Source organism: Homo sapiens, chromosome X (genome assembly GCF_000001405.40).
Source record: "Homo sapiens chromosome X, GRCh38.p14 Primary Assembly".
NCBI classification, from domain to species: Eukaryota; Metazoa; Chordata; class Mammalia; order Primates; family Hominidae; genus Homo; species Homo sapiens.
This window is the reverse complement of record NC_000023.11, coordinates 49,321,217-49,348,394: the sequence shown is the minus strand read 5'-3', so window position 1 is coordinate 49,348,394 and position 27,178 is coordinate 49,321,217. Positions and strand designations below refer to the sequence as shown.

Here is a 27,178-nt window from a genome sequence, read left to right as displayed (position 1 = left end):
GAATTCACAATTTCACAAGATCTTACACTACGTATTCAGCTCTCCACACGGAAAAACTAGGATGAAGCAGAGGGCCCGCTCACTGTCTTACTGACAATGAAATCTCAATTCAGAGATTTTCAGATGACTCGGGCCAGGGTTTCATGATTTGTGATTAACAAACCATGCGAAGCAGATGATCTCTGTGTCCCACGCATTCTATGCAACAGGATCAGAGTATGAAAGAAACGGAATGCAAAATGGTTTTAAAATCTCTGACTTAAACTCACTATTTTCATAAGAACCAAAGATAGGTTTAGAAGGGAAAGGACTCACTCAGAATCTCGCCAAGGCTGTAAGAGCTGGTATTAGAACCCGCATGAGTGCTTCAGCATTTTTCACACCAAGTGATGGGTGTTACAAACGTGTTATGTATTGATTAAAAGCAGACCTTTACAAAAGCATCTGAAAATTGTGAGCTACTGGTTTAAGGATTTACACTCAAAACTTTTAATTCAACATAGCTTTGACTCAGTTTGTTTCCCTACCTGACAGTCTATCAGTCGGGTGCTGGGGCCTGAACTACGTTTCAAATAACCTTTTATAATTAATTTCAGTCACTCAAGGTTTTCCGTGGGGAAAAGATTTAAGAAGCAAATTGTTACCAATTTGACCCAAGCCATCCCATTACTGGGGTATATACCCCAAAGGGACTATAAAATCATGCTGCTATAAAAGACACATGCACAACGTATGTTTATTGCGGCATTATTCACGATAGGCAAAGACTTGGAACCAACCCAAAATGTCCAACAACGATAGACTGGATTAAGAAAATGTGGCACATATACACCATGGAATACTATGCAGCCCTAAAAAATGATGAGTTCATGTCCTTTGTAGGGACATGGATGAAACTGGAAATCATCATTCTCAGTAAACTATCGCAAGAACAAAAAACCAAACACCGCATATTCTCACTCATAGGTGGGAACTGAACAATGAGATCACATGGACAGAGGAAGGGGAATATCACACCCTGGGGACTGTTGTCGGGTGGGGGGAGGGGGGAGGGATAGCACTGGGAGATGTACCTAATGCTAGATGATGAGATAGTGGGTGCAGCGCACCAGCATGGCACATGTATACGTATGTAACTAACCTGCACAACGTGCACATGTACCCTAAAACTTAAAGTATAATAAATAAATAAAAGGAAAAAAAAGAAGCAATTGTTCATTAAAAGCCAGAGAAACCCTGCCTGGGCAACACAGTGAGACCTCATCTCTACAAAAATGAAAACAAAAAAATGTAGTCAGGCACGGTGGCTTGTGCATGTAGTTCCAGCCACTCGGGAGGCTGAGGTGGGAGGACGGCTTTAGCCTGGGAGCCAGAAGTTGCAGTGAGCTGAAATTGCATCACTGCACTCCAGCCTGGGTGACACACTGAGACTCTGTCGCAAACAAACAAACAAACCAAGAAGAGGGAGAATTCACAATTTCACAAGATCTTATACTACGTATTCAGCTCTCCACACGGAAAAACTAGGATGAAGCAGAGGGCCCGCTCACTGTCTTACTGACAATGAAATCTCAATTCAGAGATTTTCAGATGACTCGGGCCAGGGTTTCATGATTTGTGATTAACAAACCATGCGAAGCAGATGATCTCTGTGTCCCACGCATTCTATGCAACAGGATCAGAGTATGAAAGAAACGGAATGCAAAATGGTTTTAAAGTCTCTGACTTAAACTCACTATTTTCATAAGAACCAAAGATAGGTTTAGAAGGGAAAGGACTCACTCAGAATCTCGCCAAGGCTGTAAGAGCTGGTATTAGAACCCGCATGAGTGCTTCAGCATTTTTCACACCAAGTGATGGGTGTTACAAACGTGTTATGTATTGATTAAAAGCAGACCTTTACAAAAGCATCTGAAAATTGTGAGCTACTGGTTTAAGGATTTATACTCAAAACTTTTAATTCAACATAGCTTTGACTCACTTTGTTTCCCTATCTGACAGTCTATCAGCCGGGTGCTGGGGCCTGAACTACGTTTCAAATAACCTTTATATAAGAACTCTGTTACTAAAGACGCAGTATTGTTACCTCTCTGTTATTAAAAATATAATGCTGGGTCGGGCACGGTGGCTCTCGCCTGTAATCCCGGCAATTTCAATGGTCGAGGCAGGTGGATCACCTGAGGTCAGGAGTTCGGGAACAACCTGTGCAACATAACGAAACCCTGTCTCTACTAAAAATACAACAATTAGCTGGGCGCGGCGGAGCATGCCTGTAAGCCCGGCTCCGCCAGAGGCTCAGGCAGGAGAATCACTTGAACCCTGGAGACAGAATTTCCAGTGAGCCGAGATGGCACCACTGCACTCCAGCCTGGTCTTCAGAGCGAGACTCCGTCTCAAAAACATAGTAAGAGTTACAGTATGATACTGTGGAAACAGACACCCTACAATGTGCATGCCTAATGGATTGCCTACCTTCTTCAGGCGTTTTCACCTCCTCTGGATTTGGCGGGTCCATCTCCTGCCCATCAGGACCATCTTCACACTCACACCCAGTCTGTGGGTGACCCTGTTCCTGGCTATGAGCTTCAGGCTTCGGCCCTTAAAAATAAAAAATACGTATCAATTTAAGCAGTAAAACATAAAATATGAATAAGAAAATGATATTCATGCTCTCGGTATTATTATATAAAAGCTTTAGCTAACGTAATAATAAATGTGTTGATAAGAATCCCAGGAACATTATTTCAGGAGTCCGTTAGCAGAAAACAGGAAAACAAGGTGTTCCAAATATTACCCTCCTCCTTTCCGAAGACTGCCCTCAGACAACTTTGCTGCCTCCTTTGCACTTCTCTCTTATTCTACTTCTGATTGTCCTTCTCGTATTAAATGACTCAAGGCTCAAATCCCGTCTCTCACAGCACTTACACTCCTAGCGCTTAGACTCTTACATGGCATGAGTAGCCACCAATAAACGCTGAGTGAGAAAACTCTTTTAAAAATACATGAAAAAGCCCAAACTGCAGAATATTCTGCAAACCAACTGGTCTATCCTCTCCAAAAATGTCCGTATCGTGAATGACAAGAAAAATTAAGGAAACATTACAGGTTAAAGGAAACTAAAAACACCTGAAAAGCACATGCAAGGTGTGATTCTGAACTGGACTCTGGATCAGAAAAAGAAATCCTATCAATAAAATTATCTGGGCCGGGCGTGGGGTCTCACGCCTGCAATCCAAACATTTTGGGATGCCAAGGTGGGCAGAGCAGGTGAGGCCAGAAGTTCAAGACCGCAGTGGCCGGCGCCTGTAGTCCCAGCTACACGGGAGGCTGAGGCATGAGAATCCCTAGAACCTGGGAGGTGTAGGTTGCAGTGAGCCGAGATCGCACTACTGCACTCCAACCTGGCCCACAGAGAGAGACTCCGTCTCAACAAAGAAAAAAAAAAGGAAAAAAGAAATTTTCTGGGGAACTGGCAAAATTTGAGTATGCACTCTGTATTAAATGACTCCATTTTCTCATTGTTAAATTTCCTGATTTTCAACTTTGTGCAGTGATGATCCAAGAAATGACTTTCTCTTTGTTCTGACGATATACACACCCTCAAGTACATAGGGTAAAGGACCATAATCCCTGAAACTTTATCGAGACAATTCACCATTAATAACAGTAAACATATATCCGTATGTGTGTGTGAGTGTGTGTGTGTGAGTGTGTGGGCAGCACGGTAAGAGACGGAGGGAAGAGATGTGAAACCTATGAAGCGAAAGCTACTAACAATTGGTGAATCCAGATGAACAGTATATGAGTTCATTGTACTATTCTTGCAAATTTTCTATAAATGTTACGTCTTGAAGATACATACAGTAAAAATTTAAAAGAATATATGATAACTGCACTGAACTTTAGGAAGAAAGGAATTTCCAATTGTGGTAAAAAATACAGATATCCTAAAATTTACCATCTTAACTATTTTTAAGTGGTACAGTTCACTAAGGAGTTACGTTTGCAACATTACCAGCCACTAGGCACAAAAACTTTGCATCTGTGTTTTCCTATACCATGAAAACTTTATTTATTTAATGAATTTATTTATGTGTTTATTTATTTATTCATTTATTTATTTATTAGCAATGAGGTCTCACTGTGTTTCCCAGGCTGGGCTTGAACTCCAGGACTCAAGCAATCCTCTCACCTCGGCCTCCCAAGTAGCTGGGACTATGAGTGCATGGCATTCAGCCCAGCTTTAGACCTTTCTCCTAAATGACAATCTAAGGATAAACCACAGGACATGTATAATGCTTATATTCAGCCCTAGAGTACCAACAGCAGTGTGCGTCAGCTGAGAAATCTGAAGTCTACCACGTGGGTAGGATTTCAGTTACAATTACAATGTCAGTTTCTGAAGGATTGATTAGCTGGATGGATTTGAGGACTATGGAAAATCTTACAGTCACGACACCCATTACCTATCGGGGTAAAGAGAAACTTCACTTTGTTCAAATAAAGTTATATTTAGGTCCGAAGGTCCTAAAGGTAATATTCCATAAATGAACCCTGTGAAGAACAAAGCACCAAATATAACATTGTTTGTGAATCACAGAAAATATACTGTCCCCCGCACTGAGAATAAGGGAGTGGGCGGACAGCAATTAATGGGCATTGTTGTCAGTCAGATTCTAGGAACTTTTAACAGTGCATCCCTGGAATAATCCACGACCTCCGTTACATAAATGCTTCCTTTCAAAACATTTTATCTCGGAGAAATTATTTCCATCTCACGTTAATCTCAGGATAATTCCGTTTTTGCTTTTCTAACCATAAAAGGATTTAATCACCTCCTAAAGGCCGCTGAGAAAAATCACTAAACCAGCTACCTGTATGGCAGTATCCTCATTTATCCAGCTTTTATCAAACGTACCATATAAAAATATCAATCAAAGGAAACGGGGGCCAACATTCAGCGACTCGGTTTTTGGAGCTGCTCCTGCTCCTCTGAACTGGGTCTATTCTTGGGTCAGTACTAAGCTACCTTACAGTAAAGCCTTTTGAGTTTTAAGCATTTTCAGCAAAATCACTTCCTTCTTTCCAGCAACATACATGATAGGAAGACACAAACCTTAGAACACAGTACAAATGTTGTATTCACCAGTCAAGGGTTCTTGGATAACACACAATCCTGGCACCTCCATTCTCTCATTCATAAAGTCGAGAACTTTTATCATAGTGAGGGATTTGCCTAAGCTAAGCTGCAAACTACATAGCCTCCTCGCTTTTCCAGTCAATTTCAGGCATTCTTTCCATTGTTTTCTTTCCTCCTCTTCCTCCTATGTGACAATGCCTAACACACACACACGTGCACACACACACACGAACACACACACACGCACACACCAGCAGACGTTCTTCTTCCCTTTCCCTCACCTTGACCTGCAGATGCTCCCTCATCCTCTCCCTCCTGAGCAGCTGCAGGATCCTGACGTTGAGTTGCTGGTTCCCCTTCTTCAGGTGTTGCTGGTTCCACTTCATCACTGAACTGCTCGGGCTGGGGAATACGTGTGGGTGTGCAAATAAAAAATAAGTTTCGTTATTGATACAAAATTTTACATATATACACAGAATACATAGCTATTTCTGGTCATAACTAAGCCTAAAGACATTTCTCCAACTCTATGCTCTATGCCCAATAAGGTTACTCCAACCACAGGGAGGTTACTGTGAGAAAAGTGACACACGAGGACTTTGGGGGCTATTATACTCTGTGTTGGAATACATGTGTACAATCTGTCATTAACAAACAAAGCCGGAGAAAGAAGTCATGGGCAAAAGCTGAAGAACACGAGAGGAAAAAAAAAATCCTCCAGAATCAATGTTTCCTTCATGAGATGCCATCCTCATTTTTTATGAGCAGGAAAGACCTTTATCAGCATTTCCACACTAATGCAACGACGCTATCACAAAAATTAATTTCTACTAATAGAAAACATCGAATTAACGTTTAAGCACTCACCCGCATAGGCCCAATCATTTCAGGAGGCTGTACATAGCGCCTTGGTCTAGGCCAATAATAGGTCGATCTTCCTCGCCAACTCATATTTCACACTGAAAACAGACAACCGTGATTGGGAACGTGCGCTCCAGAGGGCTGCTATATTCGATCACTTCCATGGATAAATGTTAACTTGCCGTTTTACTTTTGAAAATACTCTCAAAATAAGTCCCAGAGTTAAGCATACGTGTGTACGCTGTCTGAGTGCCTACAAAGCCACTTCTGCTGGCCAGGCTGGCAGAGCAATCATCTTAAGGCGTGTGGCAAAAGGCAGAGGACATTTTTTTCTAAATTTCTTTTGGACACGCGGTCTCGCTGTGTTGCTCAGGCTGGAGTGCAGCGGCGTGATCACAGCTCACTGCAGCCTCGACCTCCCGCTCAAGGGATCCTCCCACCTCAGTGTCCCCAGTAACTGGGAATACGTAGGCGAGCGCCACTGCGCCCCGCAGACAGAGGTCATTTCTGATGAGGTTTAGTTTCACAAGTGCACTCCCCACGAAAACCCTAGTGAATCACAATTCTCGTGATTGCTGCTTTGGGCACACTCCCACTTCCTAGAGCCATTCACCCCCCCTCACAACAAGTTTGGTTGGACCGCACTGCCTCGCCCACTCCTTCCCACTGTTTTCGGACCTTCCATGGCGGAGGTGAGACCTTGCAGTGCTTCTCACTCGGGCGCTCCGCACTCCACACCGCTGGGGGGGGCGCTCGCCAGGCCGCAGCCTTCCCAGGTGCCAGGCCCCTTCTTCACCGCCCGCCTCGCCCCCGCCGGGGGCCCCATTCAGGGAATCTGCCCTGTGTCGTCGGGGATCCCGGCACCTCGGGACTTCCATCCCCCCAACAGCACTCACCCCGTCTTCACCTGAGCCCCTGACCGCCTCCCCTCCACGGCCCACCTTCCTCCCCGTCCAGGCCCCTTCACGACCACGAAGCCGCCGGTGGCCTCGCAGCCTGTGAAGGGAAGGAGGACGACCTCGTGGCCCTTCTCCCTCGGAGGCCACAGACCAGGAAGCGGGACCCGCCTGACCCACCCGAGGCCCTCTCCACCCTCACTCACACTTCAGCCCCCGGGATGACTGGCCTGCACACCTACCAGATGAATCTCAGTAGAGGAAAAAGAGTCCGGACGGCAGGAACCACACAGCACTGCCTCACAGCTCCCTGGCGTTCTTCACGTGGGCGAAGGGGCCGGGCAGAAGGCGCCCAGTGAACATGCGCACTGAGGCGGGAGCCCAGGGAGCATGCGCGGCTGTGGGCTGGGGAGGGCTGCCGTTCCCAGCGCCACGCCCCAAACCCTCCATGCCCATCCTCATTGAGGATAAGGGAATCCCACCTCCCTCTGCTGTTTCCTATGCCTCTGGGACTCAAGTAGTGCTCCCCTCAAAACTCACCCCATCTTCAACTGAACCCCACCCCCAACCCAGGGCCCTCTCTTGCCCCGGACCCACCATGGGGACAAGGACCACTGTGACTGGCTGGGAAGACAGGTAAACCACCTGCGAAAACAGAAATAGCAACCTATCCCAAAAGGAAATTGTTCAATGTGAACAAGTCAGAGAAAGAGACTGAAAGAAAAATGAATAGAATCGCTAGGACCCGTAAGAAAATGCTAAAACGATATCTATCATTTGTAGCATCAGAATCGCAGAGGGTGAAGTGACAGTATTAGGGAAACAGGACAGCCAGAGTGACACCACGTGAAAATATACTCCGTCTTGAAAGCAGCAAGATACATAGTCCTACCAGTCACAACCCATGGTCCTAAGATGTTTGGAGTTGAGAAAACAGATGAAAGGTACCTCCAAGGACATGCTCCCACAGCAGCGGAAAGTGCACGGTTCCCAACACCCATTAACAATATATGCTTTCAACAGAATTATGCTTTCATGGACTTACACACTGGTAAGTCAAGGACAGTTTTCTTTAAATCAATAGAATGATAAAAGTCATCATGCTCTTAGCCCACCCGCACAAAGGAACAGATTAACTTTAGTCTTTATATAGATAAGACCCCTATATAAGAAAAACCAGACCAGGCCAAGGCTCACGCCTGTAATCCTAGTATTTTGGGAGGCTGAGCTGGCCAGATCACCTGAGCTCAGGACTTCGAGACCAGCCTAAGCAACATCAGAAAATCTCATCACTACAAAAAACAAACAAAAAAACCATCAAAAAATTAGCTGGGCATGGTGGCATGTACCTATACTCACAGCTACTCAGGAGGCTGAGGTGGGAGGAGCGCTTGAGCCCAGGAGGTCAAGGCTGCAGCGAGCTCTGATAACACCACCGCACTCCAGCCTCGGTGACAGAGTGAGACGCTGTCTCAAGTTTTAATAATCGAACCTAAAAACGTACAAATTTATCAATCGAATTCACTATATTAACCCATGAATGGGAAAAAACGCTGTGGTAATCGAAATAGATGCACTGTTTGATGAAAATCAACATATATTCAAATGAATACTCTCAGCAAATTTGGAACAGAATGGAATGACTCACTCTAGATAAAGTCTGTCTACAAAAAAAGAAGAGTGAATAGGATGGCGAAATGTTGAAATTTTTCGGTTTCTCATCAGGGATAAGACAAGGATGTCCACTGTCACCATTGTAACGGGTGGGTCTGCGCAATGCCATAAAATCAGAAAAGGAAATAAAACTCTTTACAATGGCAACGACGGGCCCGCCACGGTGGCCCACGCCAGTAATCCCAGCACTGTGGGAGGTGACGTGGGTGCATCACTTGCACTCAAAAGTTCAACAACAGCCCGGGAAACATGGCAAAACCCCGTCTCTACAAAAAAATACAAAAGGGAAAAGAAAAAAAAATGGCGGAAACAAAACTGCTCTTATTCCAGGATGATATGTTTCTGTATATTGAAGACTGAAAACGACCTAGAAGTAAACTTTAGAATTCACAAGCATATTTCACAAGGCCGCTGGATAGAAAACCAATATGTAAGAATTATGTCTCCACCGGGCGCGGAGGCTCATGCCTGTAATCCCAGCACTTTGGGAGGCCAAGGCAGGTGAATCACGAGGTCAGGAGTTCAAGAGCACCCCGGCCAAGATGGCGAAAGCCCATCTCTAGTAAAAACACAAAACTTAGCCAGGCGTGCTGGTGGGTGCCTATAATCCCAGCTACTCGGGAGGCTGAGGCAGACAATTGCTTGAATCCGGGAGGCGGGGTTGCAGTGAGCAGAGATCGCGCCACTGCACTCCAGCCTGGGCGACAGAGCAAGACTCCGTCTCAAAAGAGAACAAAGAAAGAAAGAAAAAAAAAAAGAACGATGTCTCTACATACCAGCTCAGAGAGTTACAATACACGATTTCAAAGAATGATACATATTTCACAGCATCAAAAAGCTAGAAATAAACTTCACAAAAGATGCGCAAGACTTCTTTGCAGAAGGCTGTAAAGCTTTATTGGGAGAATTTTAATGAACAAATTTCCAACATAGGAGCAGCCTGCATCATTTCAACGTGTCTTCTTTTAACACTGTGATTGCTTTTCACCTGTAACAGAAACACAACGATTGGGAACATGACTTAGCAACAGATTATTCAGATGACCCTAAAGGCATACAAAGCACACTACAGTTTGGGTTTTATTAAATGGACTAAAAACAGAACCCTATGGGTGATCCCGTGTCTTACACGCAATTGAACCTCTGCATAAACTTTGAGCGTAGACCTGCAGAATTTAAAAGGAATTTCCCCCCCTGAACATCAAGTGCTTCCTTTCAAGTCACAAGCACTTACAATTAACAGTCAGCAATTTGGAAAACACATGTGTAAAGCATACTTCAGTTGATTACTCAGGAAGTACTAGAGTCATGGTCTTTCAACTTTAAATCTTATCAATTCATGTCTCTAAAGCTGAAACTTACATGTAACATTTGATATGATTAGAGATGATTATATCGTATGTGTGTCTACAGTCTTATTAGAAATAGTGGCTCATGAAGACTGACAGTGGGGCAGGGAGCATGCATAGCACAGGCATCTTACTCACACCCATGCTGAGCATCACTGACCTACATGCCACAGATGATAGGAACTAAACGGTCTCTCGCCATTTGATATTTATTTCAGTCACTCAAGGTTTCCGTGGGGAAAGATTTAAGAAGCAATTGTACCATTTGACCCAGCCATCCCATTACTGGGTATATACCCAAAGGACTATAAATCATGCTGCTATAAAGACACATGCACACGTATGTTTATTGCGGCATTATTCACGATAGCAAAGACTTGGAACCAACCCAAATGTCCAACAACGATAGACTGGATTAAGAAAATGTGGCACATATACACCATGGAATACTATGCAGCCCTAAAAAATGATGAGTTCATGTCCTTTGCAGGGACATGGATGAAACTGGAAATCATCATTCTCAGTAAACTATCGCAAGAACAAAAAACCAAACACCGCATATTCTCACTCATAGGTGGGAACTGAACAATGAGATCACATGGACAGAGGAAGGGGAATATCACACCCTGGGGACTGTTGTCGGGTGGGGGGAGGGGGGAGGGATAGCACTGGGAGATGTACCTAATGCTAGATGATGAGATAGTGGGTGCAGCGCACCAGCATGGCACATGTATACATATGTAACTAACCTGCACAACGTGCACATGTACCCTAAAACTTAAAGTATAACAATAAATAAATAAATAAATAAATAAATAAATAAAAGAAAAAAAAGAAGCAATTGTTCATTAAAAGCCAGAGAAACCCTGCCTGGGCAACACAGTGAGACCTCATCTCTACAAAAATGAAAACAAAAAAATGTAGTCAGGCACGGTGGCTTGTGCATGTAGTTCCAGCCACTCGGGAGGCTGAGGTGGGAGGACGGCTTTAGCCTGGGAGCCAGAAGTTGCAGTGAGCTGAAATTGCATCACTGCACTCCAGCCTGGGTGACACACTGAGACTCTGTCGCAAACAAACAAACAAACCAAGAAGAGGGAGAATTCACAATTTCACAAGATCTTATACTACGTATTCAGCTCTCCACACGGAAAAACTAGGATGAAGCAGAGGGCCCGCTCACTGTCTTACTGACAATGAAATCTCAATTCAGAGATTTTCAGATGACTCGGGCCAGGGTTTCATGATTTGTGATTAACAAACCATGCGAAGCAGATGATCTCTGTGTCCCACGCATTCTATGCAACAGGATCAGAGTATGAAAGAAACGGAATGCAAAATGGTTTTAAAGTCTCTGACTTAAACTCACTATTTTCATAAGAACCAAAGATAGGTTTAGAAGGGAAAGGACTCACTCAGAATCTCGCCAAGGCTGTAAGAGCTGGTATTAGAACCCGCATGAGTGCTTCAGCATTTTTCACACCAAGTGATGGGTGTTACAAACGTGTTATGTATTGATTAAAAGCAGACCTTTACAAAAGCATCTGAAAATTGTGAGCTACTGGTTTAAGGATTTATACTCAAAACTTTTAATTCAACATAGCTTTGACTCAGTTTGTTTCCCTATCTGACAGTCTATCAGTCGGGTGCTGGGGCCTGAACTACGTTTCAAATAACCTTTATATAAGAAGTCTGTTACTAAAGACGCAGTATTGTTACCTCTCTGTTATTAAAAATATAATGCTGGGTCGGGCACGGTGGCTCTCGCCTGTAATCCCGGCAATTTCAATGGTCGAGGCAGGTGGATCACCTGAGGTCAGGAGTTTGGGAACAACCTGTGCAACATAACGAAACCCTGTCTCTACTAAAAATACAACAATTAGCTGGGCGCGGCGGAGCCCGCCTGTAAGCCCGGCTCCGCCAGAGGCTCAGGCAGGAGAATCACTTGAACCCTGGAGACAGAATTTCCTGTGAGCCGAGATGGCACCACTGCACTCCAGCCTGGTCTTCAGAGCGAGACTCCGTCTCAAAAACATAGTAAGACTTACAATATGATACTGTGGAAACAGACACCCTACAATGTGCATGCCTAATGGATTGCCTACCTTCTTCAGGCGTTTTCACCTCCTCTGGATTTGGCGGGTCCATCTCCTGCCCATCAGGACCATCTTCACACTCACACCCAGTCTGTGGGTGACCCTGTTCCTGGCTATCAGCTTCAGGCTTCGGCCCTTAAAAATAAAAAATACGTATCAATTTAAGCAGTAAAACATAACGCATGAATAAGAAAATAATATTCACGCTCTCGGTATTATTATATAAAAGCTTTAGCTAACATAATAATAAATGTGTTGATAAGAATCCCAGGAACATTATTTCAGGAGTCCGTTAGCAGAAAACAGGAAAACAAGGTGTTCCAAATATTACCCTCTTCCTTTCCGAAGACTGCCCTCAGACAACTTTGCTGCCTCCTTTGCACTTCTCTCTTATTCTACTTCTGATTGTCCTTCTCGTATTAAATGACTCAAGGCTCAAATCCCGTCTCTCACAGCACTTACACTCCTAGCGCTTAGACTCTTACATGGCATGAGTAGCCACCAATAAACGCTGAGTGAGAAAACTCTTTTAAAAATACATGAAAAAGCCCAAACTGCAGAATATTCTGCAAACCAACTGGTCTATCCTCTCCAAAAATGTCCGTATCGTGAATGACAAGAAAAATTAAGGAAACATTACAGGTTAAAGGAAACTAAAAACACCTGAAAAGCACATGCAAGGTGTGATTCTGAACTGGACTCTGGATCAGAAAAAGAAATCCTATCAATAAAATTATCTGGGCCGGGCGTGGGGTCTCACGCCTGCAATCCAAACATTTTGGGATGCCAAGGTGGGCAGAGCAGGTGAGGCCAGAAGTTCAAGCCCGCAGTGGCCGGCGCCTGTAGTCCCAGCTACACGGGAGGCTGAGGCATGAGAATCCCTAGAACCTGGGAGGTGTGGGTTGCAGTGAGCCGAGATCGCACTACTGCACTCCAACCTGGCCCACAGAGAGAGACTCCGTCTCAACAAAGAAAAAAAAAAGGAAAAAAGAAATTTTCTGGGGAACTGGCAAAATTTGAGTATGCACTCTGTATTAAATGACTCCATTTTCTCATTGTTAAATTTCCTGATTTTCATCTTTGTGCAGTGATGATCCAAGAAATGACTTTCTCTTTGTTCTGACGATATACACACCCTCAAGTACATAGGGTAAAGGACCATAATACCTGAAACTTTATCGAGACAATTCAGCATTAATAACAGTAAACATATATCCGTATGTATGTGTGTGTGTGTGTGTGTGAGTGTGTGGGCAGCACGGTAAGAGACGGAGGGAAGAGATGTGAAACTGATGAAGCGAAAGCTATTAACAATTGGTGAATCCAGATGAACAGTATATGAGTTCATTGTACTATTCTTGCAAATTTTCTATGAATGCTATGTCTTGAAGATACATACAGTAAAAATTTAAAAGAATACATGATAACTGCACTGAACTTTAGGAAGAAAGGAATTTCCAATTGTGGTAAAAAATACAGATATCCTAAAATTTACCATCTTAACTATTTTTAAGTGGTACAGTTCACTAAGGAGTTACGTTTGCAACATTACCAGCCACTAGGCACAAAAACTTTGCATCTGTGTTTTCCTATACCATGAAAACTTTACTTATTTAATGAATTTATTTATGTATTTATTTATTTATTCATTTATGTATTTATTAGCGATGAGGTCTCACTGTGTTTCCCAGGCTGGGCTTGAACTCCAGGACTCAAGCAATCCTCTCACCTCGGCCTCCCAAGTAGCTGGGACTATGAGTGCATGGCATTCAGCCCAGCTTTAGACCTTTCTCCTAAATGACAATCTAAGGATAAACCACAGGACATGTATAATGCTTATATTCAGCCCTAGAGTACCAACAGCAGTGTGCGTCAGCTGAGAAATCTGAAGTCTACCACGTGGGTAGGATTTCAGTTACAATTACAATGTCAGTTTCTGAAGGATTGATTAGCTGGACGGATTTGAGGACTATGGAAAATCTTACAGTCACGACACCCATTACCTATTGGGGTAAAGAGAAACTTCACTTTGTTCAAATAAAGTTATATTTAGGTCCGAAGGTCCTAAAGGTAATATTCCATAAATGAACCCCGTGAAGAACAAAGCACCAAATATAACATTGTTTGTGAATCACAGAAAATATACTGTCCCCCGCACTGAGAATAAGGGAGTGGGCGGACAGCAATTAATGGGCATTGTTGTCAGTCAGATTCTAGGAACTTTTAACAGTGCATCCCTGGAATAATCCATGACCTCCATTACATAAACGCTTCCTTTCAAAACATTTTATCTCGGAGAAATTATTTCCATCTCACGTTAATCTCAGGATAATTCCGTTTTTGCTTTTCTAACCATAAAAGGATTTAATCACCTCCTAAAAGCCGCTGAGAAAAATCACTAAACCAGCTACCTGTATGGCAGTATCCTCATTTATCCAGCTTTTATCAAACGTACCATATAAAAATATCAATCAAAGGAAACGGGGGCCAACATTCAGCGACTCGGTTTTTGGAGCTGCTCCTGCTCCTCTGAACTGGGTCTATTCTTGGGTCAGTACTAAGCTACCTTACAGTAAAGCCTTTTGAGTTTTAAGCATTTTCAGCAAAATCACTTCCTTCTTTACAGCAACACACATGATAGGAAGACACAAACCTTGGAACACAATACAAATGTTGTATTCACCAGTCAAGGGTTCTTGGATAACACACAATCCTGGCACCTCCATTCTCTCATTCATAAAGTCGAGAACTTTTATCATAGTGAGGGATTTGCCTAAGCTAAGCTGCAAACTACATAGCCTCCTCGCTTTTCCAGTCAATTTCAGGCATTCTTTCCATTGTTTTCTTTCCTCCTCTTCCTCCTATGTGACAATGCCTCACACACACACACACACACACACACACACGTGCACACACACACACGAACACACACACACGCACACACCAGCAGACGTTCTTCTTCCCTTTCCCTCACCTTGACCTGCAGATGCTCCCTCATCCTCTCCCTCCTGAGCAGCTGCAGGATCCTGACGTTGAGTTGCTGGTTCCCCTTCTTCAGGTGTTGCTGGTTCCACTTCATCACTGAACTGCTCGGGCTGGGGAATACGTGTGGGTGTGCAAATAGAAAATAAGTTTCGTTATTGATACAAAATTTTACATATATACACAGAATACATAGCTATTTCTGGTCATAACTAAGCCTAAAGACATTTCTCCAACTCTATGCTCTATGCCCAATAAGGTTACTCCACCCACAGGGAGGTTACTGTGAGAAAAGTGACGCACGAGGACTTTGGAGGCTATTGTACTCTGTGTTGGAATACATGTGTACAATCTGTCATTAACAAACAAAGCCGGAGAAAGAAGTCATGGGCAAAAGCTGAAGAACACGAGAGGAAAAAAAAAATCCTCCAGAATCAATGTTTCCTTCATGAGATGCCATCATCATTTTTTATGAGCAGGAAAGACCTTTATCAGCATTTCCACACTAATGCAACAACGCTATCACAAAAATTAATTTCTACTAATAGAAAACATCGAATTAACGTTTAAGCACTCACCCGCATAGGCCCAATCATTTCAGGAGGCTCTACGTAGCGTCTTGGTCTAGGCCAATAATAGGTCGATCTTCCTCGCCAACTCATATTTCACACTGAAAACAGACAACCGTGATTGGGAACGTGCGCTCCACAGGGCTGCTATATTCGATCACTTCCATGGATAAATGTAAACTTGCCGTTTTACTTTTGAAAATACTCTCAAGATAAGTCCCAGAGTTAAGCATACGTGTGTACGCTGTCTGAGTGCCTACAAAGCCACTTCTGCTGGCCAGGCTGGCAGAGCAATCATCTTAAGGCGTGTGGCAAAAGGCAGAGGACATTTTTTTCTAAATTTCTTTTGGACACGCGGTCTCGCTGTGTTGCTCAGGCTGGAGTGCAGCGGCGTGATCACAGCTCACTGCAGCCTCGACCTCCCGCTCAAGGGATCCTCCCACCTCAGTGTCCCGAGTAACTGGGACTACGTAGGCGAGCGCCACTGCGCCCCGCAGACAGAGGTCATTTCTGATGAGGTTTAGTTTCACAAGTGCACTCCCCACGAAAACCCTAGTGAATCACAATTCTCGTGATTGCTGCTTTGGGCACACTCCCACTTCCTAGAGCCATTCACCCCCCCTCACAACAAGTTTGGTTGGACCGCACTGCCTCGCCCACTCCTTCCCACTGTTTTCGGACCTTCCATGGCGGAGGTGAGACCTTGCAGTGCTTCTCACTCGGGCGCTCCGCACTCCACACCGCTGCGGGGGCGCTCACCAGGCCGCAGCCTTCCCAGGTGCCAGGCCCCTTCTTCACCGCCCGCCTCGCCCCCGCCGGGGACCCCATTCAGGGAATCTGCCCTGTGTCGTCGGGGGTTCCCGGCACCTCGGGACTTCCATCCCCCCAACAGCACTCACCCCGTCTTCACCTGAGCCCCTGACCGCCTCCCCTCCACGGCCCACCTTCCTCCCCGTCCAGGCCCCTTCACAACCACGAAGCCGCTGGTGGCCTCGCAGCCTGTGAAGGGAAGGAGGACGACCTCGTGGCCCTTCTCCCTCGGAGGCCACAGACCAGGAAGCGGGACCCGCCTGACCCACCCGAGGCCCTCTCCACCCTCACTCACACTTCAGCCCCCGGGATGACTGGCCTGCACACCTACCAGATGAATCTCAGTAGAGGAAAAAGAGTCCGGACGGCAGGAACCACACAGCACTGCCTCACAGCTCCCTGGCGTTCTTCACGTGGGCGAAGGGGCCGGGCAGAAGGCGCCCAGTGAACATGCGCACTGAGGCGGGAGCCCAGGGAGCATGCGCGGCTGTGGGCTGGGGAGGGCTGCCGTTCCCAGCGCCACGCCCCAAACCCTCCATGCCCATCCTCATTGAGGATAAGGGAATCCCACCTCCCTCTGCTGTTTCCTATGCCTCTGGGACTCAAGTAGTGCTCCCCTCAAAACTCACCCCATCTTCAACTGAACCCCACCCCCAACCCAGGGCCCTCTCTTGCCCCGGACCCACCATGGGGACAAGGACCACTGTGACTGGCTGGGAAGACAGGTAAACCACCTGCGAAAACAGAAATAGCAACCTATCCCAAAAGGAAATTGTTCAATGTGAACAAGTCAGAGAAAGAGACTGAAAGAAAAATGAATAGAATCGCTAGGACCCGTAAGAAAATGCTAAAACGATATCTATCATTTGTAGCATCAGAATCGCAGAGGGTGAAGTGACAGTATTAGGGAAACAGGACAGCCAGAGTGACACCACGTGAAAATATACTCCGTCTTGAAAGCAGCAAGATACATAGTCCTACCAGTCACAACCCATGGTCCTAAGATGTTTGGAGTTGAGAAAACAGATGAAAGGTACCTCCAAGGACATGCTCCCACAGCAGCGGAAAGTGCACGGTTCCCAACACCCATTAACAATATATGCTTTCAACAGAATTATGCTTTCATGGACTTACACACTGGTAAGTCAAGGACAGTTTTCTTTAAATCAATAGAATGATAAAAGTCATCATGCTCTTAGCCCACCCGCACAAAGGCACAGATTAACTTTAGTCTTTATATAGATAAGACCCCTATATAAGAAAAACCAGACCAGGCCAAGGCTCACGCCTGTAATCCTAGTATTTTGGGAGGCTGAGCTGGCCAGATCACCTGAGCTCAGGACTTCGAGACCAGCCTAAGCAACATCAGAAAATCTCATCACTACAAAAAACAAACAAAAAAACCATCGAAAAATTAGCTGGGCATGGTGGCATGTACCTATACTCACAGCTACTCAGGAGGCTGAGGTGGGAGGAGCGCTTGAGCCCAGGAGGTCAAGGCTGCAGCGAGCTCTGATAACACCACCGCACTCCAGCCTCGGTGACAGAGTGAGACGCTGTCTCAAGTTTTAATAATCGAACCTAAAAACGTACAAATTTATCAATCGAATTCACTATATTAACACATGAATGGGAAAAAACGCTGTGGTAATCGAAATAGATGCACTGTTTGATGAAAATCAACATATATTCAAATGAATACTCTCAGCAAATTTGGAACAGAATGGAATGACTCACTCTGATAAAGTCCGTCTACAAAAAAAGGAGAGTGAATAGGATGGCGAAATGTTGAAATTTTTCGGTTTCTCATCAGGGATAAGACAAGGATGTCCACTGTCACCATTGTAACGGGTGGGTCTGCGCAATGCCATAAAATCAGAAAAGGAAATAAAACTCTTTACAATGGCAACGACGGGCCCGCCACGGTGGCCCACGCCAGTAATCCCAGCACTGTGGGAGGTGACGTGGGTGCATCACTTGCACTCAAAAGTTCAACAACAGCCCGGGAAACATGGCAAAACCCCGTCTCTACAAAAAAATACAAAAGGGAAAAGAAAAAAAAATGGCGGAAACAAAACTGCTCTTATTCCAGGATGATATGTTTCTGTATATTGAAGACTGAAAACGACCTAGAAGTAAACTTTAGAATTCACAAGCATATTTCACAAGGCCGCTGGATAGAAAACCAATATGTAAGAATTATGTCTCCACCGGGCGCGGAGGCTCATGCCTGTAATCCCAGCACTTTGGGAGGCCAAGGCAGGTGAATCACGAGGTCAGGAGTTCAAGAGCACCCCGGCCAAGATGGCGAAAGCCCATCTCTAGTAAAAACACAAAACTTAGCCAGGCGTGCTGGTGGGTGCCTATAATCCCAGCTACTCGGGAGGCTGAGGCAGACAATTGCTTGAATCCGGGAGGCGGGGTTGCAGTGAGCAGAGATCGCGCCACTGCACTCCAGCCTGGGCGACAGAGCAAGACTCCGTCTCAAAAGAGAACAAAGAAAGAAAGAAAAAAAAAAAGAACGATGTCTCTACATACCAGCTCAGAGAGTTACAATACACGATTTCAAAGAATGATACATATTTCACAGCATCAAAAAGCTAGAAATAAACTTCACAAAAGATGCGCAAGACTTCTTTGCAGAAGGCTGTAAAGCTTTATTGGGAGAATTTTAATGAACAAATTTCCAACATAGGAGCAGCCTGCATCATTTCAACGTGTCTTCTTTTAACACTGTGATTGCTTTTCACCTGTAACAGAAACACAACGATTGGGAACATGACTTAGCAACAGATTATTCAGATGACCCTAAAGGCATACAAAGCACACTACAGTTTGGGTTTTATTAAATGGACTAAAAACAGAACCCTATGGGTGATCCCGTGTCTTACACGCAATTGAACCTCTGCATAAACTTTGAGCGTAGACCTGCAGAATTTAAAAGGAATTTCCCCCCCTGAACATCAAGTGCTTCCTTTCAAGTCACAAGCACTTACAATTAACAGTCAGCAATTTGGAAAACACATGTGTAAAGCATACTTCAGTTGATTACTCAGGAAGTACTAGAGTCATGGTCTTTCAACTTTAAATCTTATCAATTCATGTCTCTAAAGCTGAAACTTACATGTAACATTTGATATGATTAGAGATGATTATATCGTATGCGTGTCTACAGTCTTATTAGAAATAGTGGCTCATGAAGACTGACAGTGGGGCAGGGAGCATGCATAGCACAGGCATCTTACTCACACCCATGCTGAGCATCACTGACCTACATGCCACAGATGATAGGAACTAAACGGTCTCTCGCCATTTGATATTTATTTCAGTCACTCAAGGTTTCCGTGGGGAAAGATTTAAGAAGCAATTGTACCATTTGACCCAGCCATCCCATTACTGGGTATATACCCAAAGGACTATAAATCATGCTGCTATAAAGACACATGCACACGTATGTTTATTGCGGCATTATTCACGATAGCAAAGACTTGGAACCAACCCAAATGTCCAACAACGATAGACTGGATTAAGAAAATGTGGCACATATACACCATGGAATACTATGCAGCCCTAAAAAATGATGAGTTCATGTCCTTTGCAGGGACATGGATGAAACTGGAAATCATCATTCTCAGTAAACTATCGCAAGAACAAAAAACCAAACACCGCATATTCTCACTCATAGGTGGGAACTGAACAATGAGATCACATGGACAGAGGAAGGGGAATATCACACCCTGGGGACTGTTGTCGGGTGGGGGGAGGGGGGAGGGATAGCACTGGGAGATGTACCTAATGCTAGATGATGAGATAGTGGGTGCAGTGCAACAGCATGGCACATGTATACATATGTAACTAACCTGCACAACGTGCACATGTACCCTAAAACTTAAAGTATAACAATAAATAAATAAATAAATAAATAAAAGAAAAAAAAGAAGCAATTGTTCATTAAAAGCCAGAGAAACCCTGCCTGGGCAACACAGTGAGACCTCATCTCTACAAAAATGAAAACAAAAAAATGTAGTCAGGCACGGTGGCTTGTGCATGTAGTTCCAGCCACTCGGGAGGCTGAGGTGGGAGGACGGCTTTAGCCTGGGAGCCAGAAGTTGCAGTGAGCTGAAATTGCATCACTGCACTCCAGCCTGGGTGACACACTGAGACTCTGTCGCAAACAAACAAACAAACCAAGAAGAGGGAGAATTCACAATTTCACAAGATCTTATACTACGTATTCAGCTCTCCACACGGAAAAACTAGGATGAAGCAGAGGGCCCGCTCACTGTCTTACTGACAATGAAATCTCAATTCAGAGATTTTCAGATGACTCGGGCCAGGGTTTCATGATTTGTGATTAACAAACCATGCGAAGCAGATGATCTCTGTGTCCCACGCATTCTATGCAACAGGATCAGAGTATGAAAGAAACGGAATGCAAAATGGTTTTAAAGTCTCTGACTTAAACTCACTATTTTCATAAGAACCAAAGATAGGTTTAGAAGGGAAAGGACTCACTCAGAATCTCGCCAAGGCTGTAAGAGCTGGTATTAGAACCCGCATGAGTGCTTCAGCATTTTTCACACCAAGTGATGGGTGTTACAAACGTGTTATGTATTGATTAAAAGCAGACCTTTACAAAAGCATCTGAAAATTGTGAGCTACTGGTTTAAGGATTTATACTCAAAACTTTTAATTCAACATAGCTTTGACTCAGTTTGTTTCCCTATCTGACAGTCTATCAGTCGGGTGCTGGGGCCTGAACTACGTTTCAAATAACCTTTATATAAGAAGTCTGTTACTAAAGACGCAGTATTGTTACCTCTCTGTTATTAAAAATATAATGCTGGGTCGGGCACGGTGGCTCTCGCCTGTAATCCCGGCAATTTCAATGGTCGAGGCAGGTGGATCACCTGAGGTCAGGAGTTTGGGAACAACCTGTGCAACATAACGAAACCCTGTCTCTACTAAAAATACAACAATTAGCTGGGCGCGGCGGAGCCCGCCTGTAAGCCCGGCTCCGCCAGAGGCTCAGGCAGGAGAATCACTTGAACCCTGGAGACAGAATTTCCAGTGAGCCGAGATGGCACCACTGCACTCCAGCCTGGTCTTCAGAGCGAGACTCCGTCTCAAAAACATAGTAAGACTTACAATATGATACTGTGGAAACAGACACCCTACAATGTGCATGCCTAATGGATTGCCTACCTTCTTCAGGCGTTTTCACCTCCTCTGGATTTGGCGGGTCCATCTCCTGCCCATCAGGACCATCTTCACACTCACACCCAGTCTGTGGGTGACCCTGTTCCTGGCTATCAGCTTCAGGCTTCGGCCCTTAAAAATAAAAAATACGTATCAATTTAAGCAGTAAAACATAACGCATGAATAAGAAAATAATATTCACGCTCTCGGTATTATTATATAAAAGCTTTAGCTAACATAATAATAAATGTGTTGATAAGAATCCCAGGAACATTATTTCAGGAGTCCGTTAGCAGAAAACAGGAAAACAAGGTGTTCCAAATATTACCCTCTTCCTTTCCGAAGACTGCCCTCAGACAACTTTGCTGCCTCCTTTGCACTTCTCTCTTATTCTACTTCTGATTGTCCTTCTCGTATTAAATGACTCAAGGCTCAAATCCCGTCTCTCACAGCACTTACACTCCTAGCGCTTAGACTCTTACATGGCATGAGTAGCCACCAATAAACGCTGAGTGAGAAAACTCTTTTAAAAATACATGAAAAAGCCCAAACTGCAGAATATTCTGCAAACCAACTGGTCTATCCTCTCCAAAAATGTCCGTATCGTGAATGACAAGAAAAATTAAGGAAACATTACAGGTTAAAGGAAACTAAAAACACCTGAAAAGCACATGCAAGGTGTGATTCTGAACTGGACTCTGGATCAGAAAAAGAAATCCTATCAATAAAATTATCTGGGCCGGGCGTGGGGTCTCACGCCTGCAATCCAAACATTTTGGGATGCCAAGGTGGGCAGAGCAGGTGAGGCCAGAAGTTCAAGCCCGCAGTGGCCGGCGCCTGTAGTCCCAGCTACACGGGAGGCTGAGGCATGAGAATCCCTAGAACCTGGGAGGTGTGGGTTGCAGTGAGCCGAGATCGCACTACTGCACTCCAACCTGGCCCACAGAGAGAGACTCCGTCTTCACACAAAGAAAAAAAAAAAGGAAAAAAGAAATTTTCTGGGGAACTGGCAAAATTTGAGTATGCACTCTGTATTAAATGACTCCATTTTCTCATTGTTAAATTTCCTGATTTTCATCTTTGTGCAGTGATGATCCAAGAAATGACTTTCTCTTTGTTCTGACGATATACACACCCTCAAGTACATAGGGTAAAGGACCATAATACCTGAAACTTTATCGAGACAATTCAGCATTAATAACAGTATGTATGTGTGTGTGTGTGTGTGTGAGTGTGTGGGCAGCACGGTAAGAGACGGAGGGAAGAGATGTGAAACTGATGAAGCGAAAGCTATTAACAATTGGTGAATCCAGATGAACAGTATATGAGTTCATTGTACTATTCTTGCAAATTTTCTATGAATGCTATGTCTTGAAGATACATACAGTAAAAATTTAAAAGAATATATGATAACTGCACTGAACTTTAGGAAGAAAGGAATTTCCAATTGTGGTAAAAAATACAGATATCCTAAAATTTACCATCTTAACTATTTTTAAGTGGTACAGTTCACTAAGGAGTTACGTTTGCAACATTACCAGCCACTAGGCACAAAAACTTTGCATCTGTGTTTTCCTATACCATGAAAACTTTACTTATTTAATGAATTTATTTATGTATTTATTTATTTATTCATTTATGTATTTATTAGCGATGAGGTCTCACTGTGTTTCCCAGGCTGGGCTTGAACTCCAGGACTCAAGCAATCCTCTCACCTCGGCCTCCCAAGTAGCTGGGACTATGAGTGCATGGCATTCAGCCCAGCTTTAGACCTTTCTCCTAAATGACAATCTAAGGATAAACCACAGGACATGTATAATGCTTATATTCAGCCCTAGAGTACCAACAGCAGTGTGCGTCAGCTGAGAAATCTGAAGTCTACCACGTGGGTAGGATTTCAGTTACAATTACAATGTCAGTTTCTGAAGGATTGATTAGCTGGACGGATTTGAGGACTATGGAAAATCTTACAGTCACGACACCCATTACCTATTGGGGTAAAGAGAAACTTCACTTTGTTCAAATAAAGTTATATTTAGGTCCGAAGGTCCTAAAGGTAATATTCCATAAATGAACCCCGTGAAGAACAAAGCACCAAATATAACATTGTTTGTGAATCACAGAAAATATACTGTCCCGCACTGAGAATAAGGGAGTGGGTGGACAGCAATTAATGGGCATTGTTGTCAGTCAGATTCTAGGAACTTTTAACAGTGCATCCCTGGAATAATCCATGACCTCCATTACATAAACGCTTCCTTTCAAAACATTTTATCTCGGAGAAATTATTTCCATCTCACGTTAATCTCAGGATAATTCCGTTTTTGCTTTTCTAACCATAAAAGGATTTAATCACCTCCTAAAAGCCGCTGAGAAAAATCACTAAACCAGCTACCTGTATGGCAGTATCCTCATTTATCCAGCTTTTATCAAACGTACCATATAAAAATATCAATCAAAGGAAACGGGGGCCAACATTCAGCGACTCGGTTTTTGGAGCTGCTCCTGCTCCTCTGAACTGGGTCTATTCTTGGGTCAGTACTAAGCTACCTTACAGTAAAGCCTTTTGAGTTTTAAGCATTTTCAGCAAAATCACTTCCTTCTTTACAGCAACACACATGATAGGAAGACACAAACCTTGGAACACAATACAAATGTTGTATTCACCAGTCAAGGGTTCTTGGATAACACACAATCCTGGCACCTCCATTCTCTCATTCATAAAGTCGAGAACTTTTATCATAGTGAGGGATTTGCCTAAGCTAAGCTGCAAACTACATAGCCTCCTCGCTTTTCCAGTCAATTTCAGGCATTCTTTCCATTGTTTTCTTTCCTCCTCTTCCTCCTATGTGACAATGCCTAACACACACACACACACACACACACACACATGCACACACACACACGAACACACACACACGCACACACCAGCAGACGTTCTTCTTCCCTTTCCCTCACCTTGACCTGCAGATGCTCCCTCATCCTCTCCCTCCTGAGCAGCTGCAGGATCCTGACGTTGAGTTGCTGGTTCCCCTTCTTCAGGTGTTGCTGGTTCCACTTCATCACTGAACTGCTCGGGCTGGGGAATACGTGTGGGTGTGCAAATAAAAAATAAGTTTCGTTATTGATACAAAATTTTACATATATACACAGAATACATAGCTATTTCTGGTCCTAACTAAGCCTAAAGACATTTCTCCAACTCTATGCTCTATGCCCAATAAGGTTACTCCACCCACAGGGAGGTTACTGTGAGAAAAGTGACGCACGAGGACTTTGGAGGCTATTGTACTCTGTGTTGGAATACATGTGTACAATCTGTCATTAACAAACAAAGCCGGAGAAAGAAGTCATGGGCAAAAGCTGAAGAACACGAGAGGAAAAAAAAAATCCTCCAGAATCAATGTTTCCTTCATGAGATGCCATCATCATTTTTTATGAGCAGGAAAGACCTTTATCAGCATTTCCACACTAATGCAACAACGCTATCACAAAAATTAATTTCTACTAATAGAAAACATCGAATTAACGTTCAAGCACTCACCCGCATAGGCCCAATCATTTCAGGAGGCTGTACATAGGGTCTTGGTCTAGGCCAATAATAGGTCGATCTTCCTCGCCAACTCATATTTCACACTGAAAACAGACAACCGTGATTGGGAACGTGCGCTCCACAGGGCTGCTATATTCGATCACTTCCATGGATAAATGTAAACTTGCCGTTTTACTTTTGAAAATACTCTCAAGATAAGTCCCAGAGTTAAGCATACGTGTGTACGCTGTCTGAGTGCCTACAAAGCCACTTCTGCTGGCCAGGCTGGCAGAGCAATCATCTTAAGGCATGTGGCAAAAGGCAGAGGACATTTTTTTCTAAATTTCTTTTGGACACGCGGTCTCGCTGTGTTGCTCAGGCTGGAGTGCAGCGGCGTGATCACAGCTCACTGCAGCCTCGACCTCCCGCTCAAGGGATCCTCCCACCTCAGTGTCCCGAGTAACTGGGACTACGTAGGCGAGCGCCACTGCGCCCCGCAGACAGAGGTCATTTCTGATGAGGTTTAGTTTCACAAGTGCACTCCCCACGAAAACCCTAGTGAATCACAATTCTCGTGATTGCTGCTTTGGGCACACTCCCACTTCCTAGAGCCATTCACCCCCCCTCACAACAAGTTTGGTTGGACCGCACTGCCTCGCCCACTCCTTCCCACTGTTTTCGGACCTTCCATGGCGGAGGTGAGACCTTGCAGTGCTTCTCACTCAGGCGCTCCGCACTCCACACCGCTGGGGGGGGCGCTCACCAGGCCGCAGCCTTCCCAGGTGCCAGGCCCCTTCTTCACCGCCCGCCTCGCCCCCGCCGGAGGCCCCATTCAGGGAATCTGCCCTGTGTCGTCGGGGGTTCCCGGCACCTCGGGACTTCCATCCCCCCAACAGCACTCACCCCATCTTCACCTGAGCCCCTGACCGCCTCCCCTCCACGGCCCACCTTCCTCCCCGTCCAGGCCCCTTCACGACCACGAAGCCGCCGGTGGCCTCGCAGCCTGTGAAGGGAAGGAGGACGACCTCGTGGCCCTTCTCCCTCGGAGGCCACAGACCAGGAAGCGGGACCCGCCTGACCCACCCAAGGCCCTCTCCACCCTCACTCACACTTCAGCCCCCGGGATGACTGGCCTGCAGACCTACCAGATGAATCTCAGTAGAGGAAAAAGAGTCCGGACGGCAGGAACCACACAGCACTGCCTCACAGCTCCCTGGCGTTCTTCACGTGGGCGAAGGGGCCGGGCAGAAGACGCCCAGTGAACATGCGCACTGAGGCGGGAGCCCAGGGAGCATGCGCGGCTGTGGGCTGGGGAGGGCTGCCGTTCCCAGCGCCACGCCCCAAACCCTCCATGCCCATCCTCATTGAGGATAAGGGAATCCCACCTCCCTCTGCTGTTTCCTATGCCTCTGGGACTCAAGTAGTGCTCCCCTCAAAACTCACCCCATCTTCAACTGAACCCCACCCCCAACCCAGGGCCCTCTCTTGCCCCGGACCCACCATGGGGACAAGGACCACTGTGACTGGCTGGGAAGACAGGTAAACCACCTGCGAAAACAGAAATAGCAACCTATCCCAAAAGGAAATTGTTCATTGTGAACAAGTCAGAGAAAGAGACTGAAAGAAAAATGAATAGAATCGCTAGGACCCGTAAGAAAATGCTAAAACGATATCTATCATTTGTAGCATCAGAATCACAGAGGGTGAAGTGACAGTATTAGGGAAACAGGACAGCCAGAGTGAAACCACGTGAAAATATACTCCGTCTTGAAAGCAGCAAGATACATAGTCCTACCAGTCACAACCCATGGTCCTAAGATGTTTGGAGTTGAGAAAACAGATGAAAGGTACCTCCAAGGACATGCTCCCACAGCAGCGGAAAGTGCACGGTTCCCAACACCCATTAACAATATATGCTTTCAACAGAATTATGCTTTCATGGCCTTACACACTGGTAAGTCAAGGATAGTTTTCTTTAAATCAATAGAATGATAAAAGTCATCATGCTCTTAGCCCACCCGCACAAAGGCACAGATTAACTTTAGTCTTTATATAGATAAGACCCCTATATAA

General features: G+C 44.8%; 3 protein-coding genes across 3 annotated transcripts in view, besides 1 other annotated feature; all 3 read right to left on the bottom strand.

Moving 5' to 3' along the window:
* Nucleotides 1–7,231, bottom strand: part of GAGE12B (G antigen 12B) — a 188,819-nt gene extending 181,588 nt beyond the window's left edge. The window contains exons 1-4 of the mRNA NM_001127345.3: nt 7,140–7,231; nt 6,008–6,099; nt 5,422–5,542; nt 2,473–2,598 (exon numbers count right to left, since the gene is read on the bottom strand). Of these exons, the coding sequence (NP_001120817.2) occupies nt 2,473–2,598; nt 5,422–5,542; nt 6,008–6,091 (331 nt within the window). The 5' untranslated portion in view covers nt 6,092–6,099; nt 7,140–7,231. The remainder of the gene's footprint in view (nt 1–2,472; nt 2,599–5,421; nt 5,543–6,007; nt 6,100–7,139) is intronic.
* Nucleotides 6,199–6,863: an enhancer, noted in NCBI's record as "H3K27ac-H3K4me1 hESC enhancer chrX:49216999-49217663 (GRCh37/hg19 assembly coordinates)". NCBI's record gives its function as "activates a minimal SCP1, AML or CMV promoter by ChIP-STARR-seq in naive H9 embryonic stem cells {active_cell/tissue: H9 hESC(naive)}" and the evidence as "EXISTENCE:reporter gene assay evidence [ECO:0000049][PMID:30033119]".
* Nucleotides 7,232–9,445: 2,214 nt separating the features above from the next.
* Nucleotides 9,446–16,813, bottom strand: GAGE13 (G antigen 13). Its single transcript, NM_001098412.4, has 5 exons — nt 16,706–16,813; nt 15,574–15,665; nt 14,988–15,108; nt 12,023–12,148; nt 9,446–9,559 (listed from the first exon to the last, which is right to left on the bottom strand). Exons 2-5 carry the CDS (start codon nt 15,655–15,657, stop codon nt 9,537–9,539), a joined length of 354 nt encoding a protein of 117 aa, NP_001091882.2. The 5' UTR covers nt 15,658–15,665; nt 16,706–16,813; the 3' UTR covers nt 9,446–9,536.
* Nucleotides 16,814–19,010: 2,197 nt separating this feature from the next.
* Nucleotides 19,011–26,358, bottom strand: GAGE12J (G antigen 12J). The gene is made up of 5 exons (NM_001098406.4): nt 26,251–26,358; nt 25,118–25,209; nt 24,532–24,652; nt 21,580–21,705; nt 19,011–19,124 (listed from the first exon to the last, which is right to left on the bottom strand). The coding sequence occupies exons 2-5, from the start codon at nt 25,199–25,201 to the stop codon at nt 19,102–19,104; spliced, it is 354 nt and encodes a 117-aa protein (NP_001091876.2). The 5' UTR covers nt 25,202–25,209; nt 26,251–26,358; the 3' UTR covers nt 19,011–19,101.
* Between the last annotated feature and the right edge of the window lie 820 nt (nt 26,359–27,178).

Bases quoted from the DNA above. Each gene is read 5' to 3' on its own strand.
- GAGE13 (NM_001098412.4), bottom strand. From the start codon at position 15,657: ATGAGTTGGCGAGGAAGATCGACCTATTATTGGCCTAGACCAAGACGC. The intron at 15,109-15,573 runs GTGAGTGCTTAA...CGTATTCCCCAG, and splicing joins AAATGATTGGGCCTATGCGG to CCCGAGCAGTTCAGTGATGA. The intron at 9,560-12,022 runs GTAGGCAATCCA...TTTCTGTTACAG, and splicing joins GGTGAAAACGCCTGAAGAAG to GTGAAAAGCAATCACAGTGT.
- GAGE12J (NM_001098406.4), bottom strand. From the start codon at position 25,201: ATGAGTTGGCGAGGAAGATCGACCTATTATTGGCCTAGACCAAGACCC. The intron at 21,706-24,531 runs GTGAGGGAAAGG...TTTATTTTTAAG, and splicing joins GGGAGCATCTGCAGGTCAAG to GGCCGAAGCCTGAAGCTGAT. The intron at 19,125-21,579 runs GTAGGCAATCCA...TTTCTGTTACAG, and splicing joins GGTGAAAACGCCTGAAGAAG to GTGAAAAGCAATCACAGTGT.